Source organism: Homo sapiens, chromosome 1 (genome assembly GCF_000001405.40).
Source record: "Homo sapiens chromosome 1, GRCh38.p14 Primary Assembly".
NCBI classification, from domain to species: Eukaryota; Metazoa; Chordata; class Mammalia; order Primates; family Hominidae; genus Homo; species Homo sapiens.
This window is the reverse complement of record NC_000001.11, coordinates 114,361,255-114,376,088: the sequence shown is the minus strand read 5'-3', so window position 1 is coordinate 114,376,088 and position 14,834 is coordinate 114,361,255. Positions and strand designations below refer to the sequence as shown.

At 40.4% G+C, this 14,834-nt stretch overlaps 1 annotated feature.

The window, feature by feature from the left end:
- Positions 1,816 to 2,016: a silencer, noted in NCBI's record as "peak378 fragment used in MPRA reporter construct". NCBI's record gives its function as "represses an SCP1 promoter by STARR-seq MPRAs in K562 erythroleukemia cells {active_cell/tissue: K562}" and the evidence as "EXISTENCE:reporter gene assay evidence [ECO:0000049][PMID:32103011]".

The window sequence follows — 14,834 nt, the reverse complement described above, 5'->3', positions numbered from 1 at the left end:
TCCCAGCTTGACTTTTCCCTTTAGCTTAGTGATTTGGGGGCCCCAAAATTTATTTTCCTTTCACATCTCCCCCCTTTAAAAAAATCTTTTGGAGAAAGCATTTTATAAGAAAATGAGCCTCTGGTCTCAGGTTTTTTCTGATCTCTCATGGCTAGGATGGTTTATTCTTAGAGTTATTAGGAAAGCTCATTTTTAGCAGGTTGAGAAGTCTCATGTCCTATGAAGAGAAAATAAGGGGAGGAAGGGAGAAAGACAACAACAAACAAAAGAACAATCCTGGAAAATCAATATAGGCCACATTACTCTGAAGTCCATACATCATTAGGCAGTTATGAAAGTGGCTTATGTATGCAAATAGATGGCTGTTATTTTCTACCTAAGTTTAAGTTGTCTAGATTCAGTTCACAGGGATTTAAGAAAACATAGCCTAGTTTTCAGAGATTTAAAATTGGGAAAAATGGGGGGTGAAGCAAAAGAAAGGAGAAAAAAATTGTAAACATTGTTTTGGAGACTTGCATCCAGGAAAAATTAGAATTCAGACCATACTGTAGAAAATAATAAAAATTGAAAAACATTAGGCAAGACTAGAATCTAACAACAGGTATACTATACTTTTTGAAACATAATTTTTCTCTCTCTAGTTTCCCATTTTTACTAAAGAGAAATCATGGTAGGACCAATTTGCTTTATTATACTTGGCCAGATTATTTGTATAAAATGCAGCAAGAAAGGCCAGGTGCGGTGGCTCAGAGCTGTAATCCCCACACTTTGGGGGGCCGAGGCGGGCAGATCACAAGGTCATGAGATCGAGACCAGCCTGGCTAACACAGTGAAACCCCATCTCTACTGAAAATACAAAAAATTAGCCAGGCGTGGGGACACGTGCCTATAGTCCCAGCTACTTGGGAGGCTGAGGTAGGAGAATTGCTTGAACCCGGGATGCAGAGGTTGCAGTGAGCTGAGATTGCACCACTGCACTCCAGCCTGGGTAACAGAATGAGACTGTCTCAAAAAAAATGCAGCAAAAATAATTTTTTTTTTGAGATGGAATCTCGCTTTGTCACCTAGGCTGGAGTGCAATGGCATGGTCTCAGCTCACTGCAACCTCCACTTCCCAGGTTCAAGTGATTCTTCTGCCTCAGCCTCCCGATTAGCTGGGACTAAAGGCACATGCCACCATGCCTGGCTAATTTTTTTTGTATTTTTAGTAGAGGTGGGGTTTCACTATGTTGGCCAGGCTGGTCTCGAATTCCTAACCTTGTGATCTGCCCACCTTGGCCTCCCAAATTGCTGAGATTACAGGTGTAAGCCACCATGCCCATCTAAGAATAATTATTTTTTACATAGGCTTTTAAAATTGGCTTTGATGGAACTTTGTTCCATAGAAGGAATCTCAGATAAGACTTTTTAAAACCAAGCCCAGCCATGGATTTGTACCATCAAATACCTGTAAGTTGGGTGAATTTTTCTCCTCTTGATGTCCCAAGATAACTTGGGGCTCCTGGGCCTGTCAGAAAGTGACATTCCTTACTTACCACAGGTCAGGAACTCTCTACAGGGACTATGTACAAAGTATGAGGCCAGCTTTCCCAAGGCACTTTTATTGGCTCTGTAAGTCAAGTTTGATTCCTTACAGGAATGCACACCATTCCAGTCAAAGCCTTGGTGAAATAACCAGTTTCCCCAATGGTGTCCTATTTCATTTACAAATGAAAACAGATTCTTATTGCACTTATGCAAATAACAATATTGTCATAAGTTAAGAATGTTCACAAATAGTTTCTAAATTCTGGAGAAATCAGGTAGAGAGAAACAAATATGCTCCAAATTTTTTTCATAGGAGTATATTTAATTGTTAAAAGCTGTCAGTAGGCTGAGCATGGTGGCTCACACCTGTAATCCCAGCACTTTGGGAGGATGAGGCAGGCGGATCACTTAAGGTTAGGAGTTTGAGACCAGCCTGACCAACATGGAGAAACCCTGTCTCTACTAAAAATACAAAGTTAGGCATGGTAGTGCATGCCATAATCCCAGCTATTTGGGAGACTGAGGCAGGAGAATCGCTTGAACTGAGGGGGCAGAGGTTGTGGTGAGCCAAGATTGTGCCATTGCACTGCAGCCTGGGAAAAAGGAGCAAAATTGTGTCAAAAAAAAAAAAATCTGTCAGTAGCTCAAAACAAAATTTCCTTGACTCTGAAAAACAAAAGGATCAGCAACGTTTTCAGCAAAACGTCAAAAAGATTACTTCAGTCTTCTTTTACTTCAGTCCATGCAGTTAATTCCTATTCTGCTTGATATTCATGAGCATTTCAGCTCTCCATGAGTCCTGAAAGTTTTTCCTCTATTCTGATGTCACAATCTTCAAAGTTATCAGAAACCTGCATTCAAAAGTACCTGTTTGAGTTTTATAGCTGATTATCAAACCACTTTCTAAAGAGGACCCAAACAAGACAATAATTGTTTGTGGATGACAAAGAGTTTTAGGGCAGCCATAGTCAAAGACACAATTCACAAGGAAATTTGTTGCTTCTGTGGCACACAATAATTTAACATAACAATTATAATTATTACTGTTAATGTACAGTAAGTCATATCAGAATTATAGGAGTTTCTCCACAATTTTGGAACACATACCAATAACATATTTATACAAATACAGCCCAAAGAAAACCAAATACCATTTTATATTTGACAATGCTTTCTGTAAAATTTTTATACCAAATAAGCCAAATATATCATTTTTGGGCTTTAGGGAACCTAATATCTTAAAATATTAATTAGATCAGAAAAACACATAATTTATAATTTGATTTTGGAAAGTTTGTCAAATATCAAAGGTTTAAAACACTTGATATCACAAAATAGGATCACAGATCATTGTAAAATAAGTCATTCATTTAATAAAAGTGATAAGGATTTCAACAAAAGACAAAAACCTTCATTCTTTGAGAGAGGAGACTTAATTTTCCAAACAATAAGCCCTAATGAAAACAGAATGAAGCCAATTAAATTTGCTTTCCAAAATTTTATAAACAATCTCTAAAATTTTTATATTGACTACAAGATATAACTTCCATAAGCCTTTTATAAACTTTATAACATTTATTAAGGAGTTGGTTAATGCTTCAAGAAAACTTTGTCAATCTGACACAGGGGCCCATATGCTTGCATCAGTGTCTTGCATCAGTGTGCCTTTGACATTAATCATTAATTTATAGAAAAACTGAACTTATTTTATCTGTCAAATTGGCCCTGACAATCTCACACACCCATCTCTTCTGCAATAGTCTCTGGGCCCTGAGGAGTTGAATAGCTTTAATTTCTGGCCCTGTGTCTCAGGAATGCAGTTTATTTTGATTGGCGTCTTCTACCAGGCCTGAAGATGAGACTTTAATTACTGTCAGGGTTTAAAATTTAGCAGGACTTGGTGTCCTTTTTAGACCCAGGAGTCAAAGCCCTGTAACTGAATGTCACAATGACTTTAAAAGTACATACAGAAAGATACACAGATGCAATAATCTTAATTTTAAAAATGTTTATCACAGTTTTTTTCTAAGCAAGCCAAAACTTCATAATAATGGCATAGAAAATATTTTGATAGAATGTAAAATGTGTTAGGCCAGTTACCAAAAAGCAAAAGAAAAGACCTTCTGCAGTGTACAGAATATTATGTTGAAAGAAAACATTTCCTTTAGACCTTTAAGAAAACATTGTTAGTATCAGGCCACAACAAACATAACTCGAGGGAAAAAAAATTTATGTGAGCTGAAAATAAGTTGAAGGAGAGCATTTCTATTTCATGCCTTTTAAAAGGGGAGAGAAAACTAAGCTTTCTTACCAAAAAATACCTCTTTATTTCTATAACTTTCTTTACATCTCTGTTATTTCCTTGTTCCCTTTACATTGTTTTATACATAACCTTTAAATAAGCTTTGAATTAGACACGAATTGTTCACCTTTTTAAAAAGGACACTTTTGTTTTTTTTGAGATGGAGTCTCAGTCTGTCACCCAGGCTGGAGTGCAATGACGTGGTCTCTGCTCACTGCAACCTCCGCTCCCGAGTTCAATCCATTCTCCCGCCTCAGCCTCTTGAGTAGCTGGGACTACAGGCACATGCCACCACACCTGGCTAATTTTTGTATTTTTAGTAGAGACGGGGTTTCACTATGTTGGCCAGGCTGGTCTCAAACTCCTGATCTCATGATCCACCTGTCTCAGTCTCTCAAAGTGCTGGGATTACAGGCGTGAGCCACTGTGCCCAGCCAAAAGGACACTTTTTTTTTTAAGAAAGGATGTTTTCCTACAATATATATTTTTATTGAGATATCTATTATTTAATTTAATATACCTTTAGATTCTAAATTATGAGAAGTTTGTCTACAAGTATTTATCCCATTATGTTTACCTAATTATTTTATTTTAATTGTTTATCTAGATTATTTATGAAAACTGTGATAGTCATCATTTAAACTTATGAAATTTGCCATTGCAAAATTATAACTGAGATAGTGAAAAAAGACATGACCTGAGTCCATCTTGCTTCTAACCTCCAACCTGTCCTTGTTCATTCCTGGACATAAGTCAAATTCACTTTGAGAGAAAGAGAGTTTATAGTTAAGCTTTGAAACAAAGATGATAAAAGTCTTTTCCCAAACAAACCACCTTACTGCCTGTGGACTACATTGCCTAAAACCATAAGATTAGAAGTTATGATAATTTTACTAAATAATTCAAGATGTAGCTGTTTTCATTAAACCAGTATCAATATCTTATTTATTAAAAATTACACAAGTGGCTAGGTGCAGTGGCTCATGCCTGTAATCCCAGCACTTTGGGAGGCCGAAGCGGATGGATCACCTGAGGTTGGGAACTTGAGACCAGCCTGACCAACATGGAGAAACCCTGTCTCTACTAAAAATACAAAATTAGCCATGCATGGTGGCGCATGCCTGTAATCCCAGCTACTCAGGAGTCTGAGGCAGGAGAATTGCTTGAACCTGGGAGGCGGAGTTTGTGGTGAGCCAAGATCACACCATTGCACTCCAGCCTGGGCAACAAGAGTGAAACTCTGTCTCAAAAAAAAAAAAAAATTACACAAGCAAAGATCATTCTGTTTTGGGCTGGATTTATAGTTTCATAACCCCTGTGTTAAATTTTGACACCTTATGGTATTTGCCAGGGAAAAGTATGATATTGCTTGATCAATAAATGCAAACAAAAATGTTTGCTGGCAATTCTTAAGACAGTTCTAATATTACTTTACCAATACTTTTAAAGCTAGCTTATTTATTAAAGATTTTACTTAAGTTACATAAACTTGAAAGAGTATTTGACTAGTCTTTCCTTTTTTCTGAGAAAGTATTTGATTTAAGTGCTTTTATTTTTCTTTAAGCCAATTAATTAGACTTCTTTTCTATATTTTTAGAAGTGAAACATTGTGTACACAATACATAAATACATAGCTGTATTAGGCATACTGATGGAAGTACATCTTAAAGATTCCTAAGATCTCCTTTTTTTTTTTTTTTCCTATCTTAGACTTGCAAACTCTTGATAACCTGTTTCATTATCCTGGCAGTTGTCAGCTAAATAGCTGTAAATCTGCATATTGAAGGAAACAACTCTTAGATGAAAAATCAGATAGCAAAATTTACATCTCAAGGTACAGAGAGATAAAGTCTGGTGGTGCTAGAGGGAGATTAAAGATGGATGTCAAATCAAACATAAAATTATAGAAATCTATCATAAGATTGTATGAGAAGCCCAATTTTATTTAGATAGGGATTACCTATCTTTTAAATGGATCTCTGAGCTCTAGGCAGAGTCCACACTGAATTCTTTGTCTCCAAAAAGGGAGAATTATTATGAGGCTAGACCACGTGATGTTTTTACAGTGCACTTAAAATTTTTTTTAAACATAGACATTTCTAAGTGTCTAAACTACACTCTTCCTTAAAAGTCCAAGAGTAGTCTCTGTTGCAATAACTATTTTAGTCAGTAAGTCAGGTGACACAATACAAAAGCAAGCAGTTTAAGAGCTGAGACAAACTTGTCTGTTTACACTCTTGGGGTTCCACAAGGAAAAAGGAAAAACATGTTTCTCCCTCAAAGGGAGCCTGGTGCCTTCTCCATTTTCTTTAGGGAACCCCAGGCTATTATAAACTATTTTACATCCCTCATGCAGCAGAGGGTGCAAGAGAAAGGAGAGACAGCAGAAGTAAATGAAGAAAACGGAATTCAGTCAACTAAGAAAAACTTTTTTTCAAAAAAGAAGAAAAGACAAGGTCCTAGAAGAAAAAAAGACAAGGCCCTAGGAGAAAAAAACAAAGCAAAAACATGAAGACCTTTTAAATACAAACACACACACATGCACACATATACACACACATCTTGGATGTTAGCTTTTAATTCAGCTGACTTTTTACCATTGAGCTCCTTTAAAAGAACCTTTTTAAATCTCATTACCATATTTCAGCTAGGACAAATTGCTGCTATTAAGGGAGGAGACCACCCCTCATATTGTCTTATGCCCAATTTCTGCCTCCAAATAAAAAAGAAGTAAAAACTAAAAGGCAGACAGCCCAGCGCTGCGCCCTGGGCCTGGTAGTTAAAAATCAACCCCTGACTTAACTGCTTGTGTTATCTATAGATTCCAGACATTGTATGGAAAAGCATCGTGAAAATCCCTGTCCTGTTCTGCTCCATTCTGATTACCAGTGCATGCAGCCCCCAGTCATGTACCCCCTGCTTGCTCAATTGATCACGACCCTCTCATATGGACCCCCTTAGAGTTGTAAGCCCTTAAAATGGACAGGAATTGCTCACTGGAGGAGCTCAGTTTTTTGAGACATAAGTCTGCTGATGCTTCCGGCCAAATAAAGCACTTTCCTTCCTCAACTTGGTGTCTGAGGGTTTTGTCTGCGGCTCGTCCTGCTACATTTCTTGGTGCCCCGACCAGGAAGTGAGGTGATTAGCGGACGGTTGAGGCAACCCCTTAGGTGGCTTAGGCCTGCCCTGTGGAGCATCCCTGTGGGGCACTCTGGCCAGCTTTAGCGACACAAATCCTGAGAGCACTCCCGGGTAGGCAATTGCCCTGGTGGAATGCCTTGCCAGAGCAGTGCACGGTAGGCCCCCATGGAGGATCAACGCAGTGGCTGAACACCCAGAAGGAATTGGCGCTTGGACTCCAGACATCTGGAACACGGTAAGACTGGTCTTGGAACTTGCCCACTTGGAAACATGGCCTGATCACCCATGGCGTGCCTTTATCAGCGACTTGGTTTTGGTTTTGATTTTGACTAGATTCACACTGCTTTGGTTTAGATTTTGGTACTGGCTTTTGGATTTGAACTGTTTTGGCTTTGATTTCAGTTCTGACTTGGCTCAAATTGCTTGATGAATGAGTAACTCCTTATCCATGCTTTGGTTTTAGTGTGAATTGCTTGGTGAGTGAGTGGAGTGAGTGACTTTTTGCCCCTTTTTCCCTTCCCTCTTTGTGGTAAGAGCGTTATTCTGTCTCCTGAGAGAGGAAAATGTGTAAAACACAAAGTAAGCCTACCCCATTAGAAACGATGTTAAAGAATTTCAAGAAAGGATTCAATGGGGACTATGGAATTGCTATGACACCTGGAAAGCTTAAGGCTTTGTGTGAGATAGACTGGCTGGCATTAGAGGTGGGATCACCATCAGAAGGAAGCCTAGACAGGTCCCTAGTTTCAAAGGTATGGCCCAAAGTAACTGGTAAATCAGGACCAGATCAGTTTCCACACATAGATACTTGGTTGCAGCTGGTTTTAGACCCCCCACAGTGCTTAAGAGGACAGGCAGCAGCAGTGCTAGTGGCAAAGGGACAGACAGCCAAGAAGAAAGAGTACCTCCACTCCCGCTGGTCCCTCCCCTAGAGGAAGAGGAAGGAGAGAGGAGAACAGCAGCATAAGCAGCTGGCAAAGGCAAGGAAAGACCAGCAGAGAGAAAAAGAGAGAGAGAGAGACAGACAGACAGAGAGGAGAGAAAGAGAGGGGAAGAGAGAGAGAGCGAAAAGAGAGAGAGAGGAAAGAGAGAGGAAAAGATGCAAAGAGAGAAAAGAAGAGAGAGAGAAAGAGACAGGCAAAGAGGGAGTCAGAGAGAAAGAGAGAGGCAGAGAGAGAGGAAGAGACAGAGACAAAAAGAAAAAGAGAGAGAGACAGAAAGTCAAAGAGAGAAAGAAAGAAAGAGAGAGAGAGATATACAAGTAGTTAAGAAAAAAACAGTGTACCTGATTCCTTTAAAAGCCAAGGTAAATTTAGAACCTATAATTGATAACTAAAGGTCTTCTCTGTGACCATATAACACTCCAATACCACTTTGTTGTCAGTGTAAACAAGGGCGTAGCGTGGAAGCACTGAGGCCACTGACAACCTGTAGCCTTCCTATCAAAATTCCTTAACCCGGTAACCTGCAGATGGCCCAAACACATTCAATCTGTAGCGGCAATGGATTTGCTAATAGAAAAAAGTAGAAAAATAACTTTTAAAGGAAACCTCACTGTAAGCACACCTAACCAGTTCAGAACTATCCTAAGTTAAAAAAAAAAAAAAAAAAAGAGAGAGAGAAAAAGGTGGGGGAGAATTTATGTAAAAAGAATGTTATATAGTAAACTCTTGTCCTAAAATAAATTAACTGGTTGTTTAAAGAAAGGGATGTTTGCAATAAGTCAGAAAGTTGAGACATGTTGAAGAATTGTCTGTGAAAGTAGTGAAAGAAGAAAAAAAAAGTGTGTTATAAAAAAGGAATTTTTGCAAGAAGTGTTGTATAATTGAAAAGTAATTAGGCCTCCTGAATGTAAAACTATTGAAGAAACACTTTATGTGCAAGGTGTATAAGAAAAGTAAAATATACTTTTAGTAAAAGGATTATAAGGAGGCATAAAAATGTGGATTTTTACCTACATTAAAAGGTTAAAAAAATTTTTTTGTTTTGAAGGTTTAAGCAAGTTTTAAAATGTTAATTGTAAAGGAAATTCTGTGTGTAAACATATTGGCTAAAGTTAAAGGGGCATCATCCAGTTTTTCTGTGAACTGGACATTAAAGTAAAAACAAAATGTGTTTTTCTTAAAGCACTAACCTGCTCTTTAACAAAAATTATAAAAGGTTAAAAAGAGTCTATAAAAATCTTACCTTATGGTCAGACATTAAAAATTGAATAAATATGTCTACAAAGTTTTATTAAAACTAAGTTTAACATTAATAACACACTAATATAAAGGTGAAATTTAGCTTATCTGGTTTGAAAATCATACAGAAAGCATTGTCAAATATAAAATGTTGTTTGGCTTTCTTTGGTCTAAAAACTAATAAAAATAGGTGCTAAAGGAAATTTCCCAGTAAGAAGGCACCAAGAACTATAAAGTCTGCTGCTGATGTCCCCACATTTAAAACAAAAGGTCAATTTCTTAGAAATTATATACTTGGTTTATCTTCCACTTTCCTTTCCCTCAAAACTAAAAGTCTTTTAGCACATGTACCACCCCTAGAATTTCCGGTAAACCAGCACCAGCCTGAAGATTACATTCTCATCAAAGGGTAGAAAGAAGAAAAACTCAAGCCAGCCTGGGAAGGACCCTACCTTGTGCTGCTAACCACTGAGACTGCTGTTCATACAGCAGAAAGGGGATGGACTCATCACACCTGAGTCAAGAAAGTGCCACCCCCTCCAGAGTCGTGGGCCATAGTCCCAGGAGAAAACCCAACCAAACTAAAGCTAAGAAAAATTTAACTCTTTCATCTATTATATTATACTTTCTTCTTTCCTCGCTCTATTGCTGACCATCTAGTTATTAACACAACCAAGTCAATTTTGCCTCAAACTATTGCATTTAATGCTTGCCTTGTTATACCCTGTGGGGACTTGCCAAGTCAAAGACAGCTCTCTACTTCAGAAAAGTACCTCTGTCCCTCCTGACTCTCCTCAGACTGGGCATTAGTAAATTGGGACCATTTAATCTGAGGAGATTTTGATAAAGACCCCAGTGTCAACCAGGAGTCTTGCCCCCTGATGTAGAGCTTTTATGCCGTAGTTGGTCCAACGTTCTGTGGACCACTAAAAAGCAAGGATGGACTGCCCCAACCGGTTTTTGTAATTTCCTAAAACCATACATTCATTTTACTAGAGGATCATAGAAGTTAAAGACTTAAAACAAACTTTGGCAATTAAGACAGGATACCAAGATGCAAATGCCTGGTTGGAATGGATCAAATATTCCGTCTGCACATTAAACAAAAGCAATTGTTATGCTTGTGCACGTGGCAGGCCAGAGGCCCAGATTGTCTGCTTTCCACTAATGTGGTCCTCCAGTTGACCAGACATGGGCTGCATGGTAGCTCTTTTCCAGGATTCTATAGCCTGGAGTAATAAGTCATGCCAAGCTCTCTCTCTGCTATATCCTGAAGTTCAGCACCCTGCGGGTCAGCCCCCAAGGGCCATCCAGCTTCCGTCTCCCAACACTAAGTTCACTTCATGTCTCTCATGACAGGGAGGAAACTTAGCATTCCTTGGAGACCTGAAAGGATGCAGTGAACTTAAGAACTTTCAAGAGCTCACCAATAAGTCAGCCCTTGTTCATCCCCGAGCGGATGTGTGGTGGTATTGTGGTGGACATTTACTGGACACTCTGCCGAATAACTGGAGTGGCACTTGTGCTTTAGTCCAATTGGCTATCCCTTTCACCCTGGCATTTCATCAACCAGAGGGAGGGCAGGTGATAGAAAAAGGGTGGATCTGGTTATCGGATGGAAGAATAGCAATGCCACAACTGCTAGGAGCCGCAGTCGTACTAGCTGTGCATGAGACCACCCATCTAGGCCAAGAGTCTCTTAAAAAGTTGTTAGGCCGGTACTTCTACATCTCACATCTGTCAGCCCTTGCCAAAACAGTGGTGCAGCAGTGTGTCACCTGCCAGCAGCACAATGCTAGGCAAGGTCCAACCGTCCCACCTGGCATATAGGCTTATGGAGCAGCCCCCTTTGAAGATCCCCAAGTAGACTTCACTGAGATGCCCAACTGTGGAGATCTCATCCCTAGGTTTGGACTGCCCTTACAAATCGGCTTGGACAACAGGTCAGCATTTGTGGCTGACCTGGTACAGAAGACAGCAAAGGTGATTGGGTGTGGATCAAGGATTGGAATGTAGCCCCCCTTGCAGCCATGGTGGAAAGGACCCCAGACCGTTGTATTGACCACTCCCACAGCTGTGAAAGTAGAAGGAATCCCAGCCTGGATCCACCACAGCCATGTGAAACCCGCAGCACCTGAGACCTGGGAGGCGAGACCAAGCCCAGACAATCCTTGCAAAGTGACTCTGAAGAAGACAACAAGCCCTGCTCCAGTCACACCTGGAAGCTGACTGGTCCACGCACAGCTGAAGTATGAGGAAACTCACAGTGGGACTTATTTTCCTTAAATTTTGGACTTGTACAGTAAGGACTTCAACTGACCTTCCTCAAACTGGGGACTGTTCCCAGTGTATACATCAGCTCACTGAGGTATGGCAAAAAGTTAAAACTGTCTTTTTGTTCTATAGTTATTATAAATGTGCTGGAACTCTAAAAGGGACTTGTTTGTATAATGTCACCCAGTACAAGGTATGTAGCCCAAAAAGTGACCAGCCTGATGTGTGTTGTAACCCATCTGAGCCCTCTATGGTAACAGTTTTTGAAATAAGATTAAGAACGGTCACCTGGTGGGGTCTAAACCATACTAAGAAGCATCCATTTAGTAAGTTTCCTAAGTTGCAAACTGTTTGGGCCCATCCAGAGTCTCACTGGGACTGGCCAGCTCCAGCTGGACTATACTGGATATGCAGGCATAGAGCCTACACCAAGCTACCTGACCAATGGGCAGGTCGTTGTGTCATTAGCACCATTAAGCCATCCTTTTTCCTACTGCTTGTAAAAACAGGTGAGCTCCTAGGCTTCCCTGTCTATGCTTCCCGAGAAAAGAGAAGCATAGCCATAGGTGATTGGAAAAATGATGAGTGGCCCCCTGAAAGAATCATACAGTACTATGGGCCTGCCACATGGGCACAAGACAGCTCGTAGGGATACTGAACCCCCATCTACATGCTCAACTAGATTATACGGTTAACAAGCTGTCTTAGAATAATCACTAATGAGACTGGCAGAGCTTTGACTGTTTTAGCCCGGCAAGAAACCCTGATGAGAAATGCTATTTATCAGAATAGATTAGCCCTAGACTACTTGCTAGCAGCTGAAAGAGGAGTTTGTGGGAAATTTAACCTTACCAATTGCTGTCTACACATAGATGATCAAAGGCAAGTAGCTGAAGACATAGAGATATGACAAAACTAGCACATGTGCCTGTGCAAGTGTGGCATGGATTTGATCTTGGGGCCATGTTTGGAAAATGGTTCCCAGCGCTAGGAGGATTTAAAACCCTTATAATAGGAATTATAATAGTAATAGGAACCTGCTTACTACTCCCTTGTTTGCTACCTGTACGCCTTCAAATGATTAAAAAGCTTCATCACTACCTTAGTTCACTAAAATGCTTCAGCACAAGTGTACTATATGAATCACTATCAATCTGTCTTGCAAGAAGACATGGGTAGTGAGGATGAAAATGAGAACTCCTACTAATGAGTAAAGTTCTCAAAGGGGGGAATAAGGAAGGAGACCACCCCTCATATAGTCTTATGCCCAATTTCTGCTTCCAAAGAAAAAAGAAGTAAAAACTAAAAGACACAAATGAAATCCACAGGCAGACAGCCCAGCACTGCGCCCTGGGCCTGGTAGTTAAAAGCAACCCCTGACTTAACTGCTTGTGTTATCTATAGATTCCAGACATTGTATGGAAAAGCATCATGAAAATCCCTGTCCTGTTCTGTTCCATTCTGATTACCAGTGCATGTAGCCCCCAGTCATGTACCCCCTGCTTGCTCAATCGATCATGACCCTCTCATGCAGACCCCCTTAGAGTTGTAAGCCCTTAAAAGGGACAGGAATTGCTCAGTCAGGGAGCTTGGTTTTTTGAGACATAAGTCTGCTGACACTTCTGGCCAAATAAAGCCCTTTCCTTCCTCAACTTGGTGTCTGAGGGGTTTTGTCTGCGGTTCGTCCTGCTACACTATTAATATTTATGATATACCAAGTATCAAACTAGAAAGGGCTTGATTTAGGATCCAAACCCAGGTTGTCATGGCGGGAAAAAAGAAGGCAGAACGCTTAGCTATGGAACTTCAGCATGGTGCAACAGCCATTGCTCTTTCTGTTCAGCCTGGCTAACAAAAGGGTGGCCTCATTATGTAAATAAAGCCCGTTAAGTAGTCAAAAGCAAAAATATTTCTTTTTTTTTTCCTTTTGCTGGCTGTTTTTCTCCCCCACCACACCACCTTTTTGTGTGTGTGTGTGTTGGGGTTGGGGGGGAGTTTAGCCACTTCAGAGGCCTTGTTCCTTGTAATTTGGAACTTTCCTTTGGATTTGATCAAGTCAAATAGAGTTGATCAAACCCAATGGGAAAAAGATGGAAACAACAACAAAAACAGAAACAAACAAACAACAGCAACAACAAAAAAGTTAAGCAAAACAAATGATGGCACAATTTATTATTATTGTTGTTGTTTTATTTTTTATATAGTTTTTGAGATGGAGTCTCACCCTGTCACCCAGGCTGGAGTGCAATGGTGCCACCTTGGCTCACTGCAACCTCCACCTCCTGGGTTCAAACGATTCTCCTGCCTCAGCCTCCTAAGTAGCTGAGATTACAGGCACCTGCCACCATGCCCAGTTAATTTTTGTATTTTTAGCAGAGACAGGGTTTCACCATGCTGGCCAGGCTGGTCTCGAACTCCTGACCTTGTGATCTGCCTGTCTCAGCATCCCAAAGTGCTAGGATTACAGTCGTGAGCCACTGTGACTGGCCCATGATGGCACAACTTACATGATCACTGAGTGCTCTAATGGTAGGGAGAAATTAAGACCAGCTGCTTGTTAATCTTAACTTTAGCCAAGACAAACTCCAGTTCAGTTACTTAACTAGAGATGGGTCTCAGGCTGAAGACTGCCTCCAAAGAGGCATTCTTTTGAGTTTCTGAGAAGCAGGAAAAAAAACTCAAATTAGTCTTCCCTGCTGGAAATGAGTTCAAACTCCAGGAAGGAGTTACTTGCCTTCCATTGTCATGGAAACAGGAAAAATTTGCCTTCCTTTTGTTGGAATCAAGTAAAACTCCAAAAAAAAAAAAAAAAAGGAATTGTACAGCAAAATAAAGTTTAGATTTGGGGACATCTGGGATTCTCTGGAAGGGATGCTTCTGGGCCTCAGCAAATTGTCCTATTGGTTTGTCCATAAAGATAGCTCAAGGTGGCTAGGCACAGCGCCTCATGCCTGTAATCCCAGCACTTTGGGAGGCCAAGGCTGGCAGATCACGAGGTCAGGAGTTCGAGACCAGCCTGGCCAACATGGTGAAACCCCGTCTCTACTAAAAATACAAAAATTAGCTGGGCCTGGTAGCGGGCACCTGTAATCCCAGCTACTCTGGAGGCTGAGGCAGGAGAATCATTTGAACCCGGGAGGCGAAGGTTGCAGTGAGCTGAGATCGCGCCATTGCACTCCAACTTGGGTGACGGGGTGAGACTCTGTCTCAAAACCAAAAAACAAACAAAGAAAAAGATAGCTCAAGCTGCTACCAAATACTGATAGGAGACTTGTCAAAGGTCAGGAGCACCTCCACTTAGAATCCCTTTATGGTTGCCAAAATCTGAACCCCGAATACCTGAGACACGTTTCAGTTAATTTAGAAAGTTTATTTTGCCAAGGTTGAGGACATGCATCCATGACAGC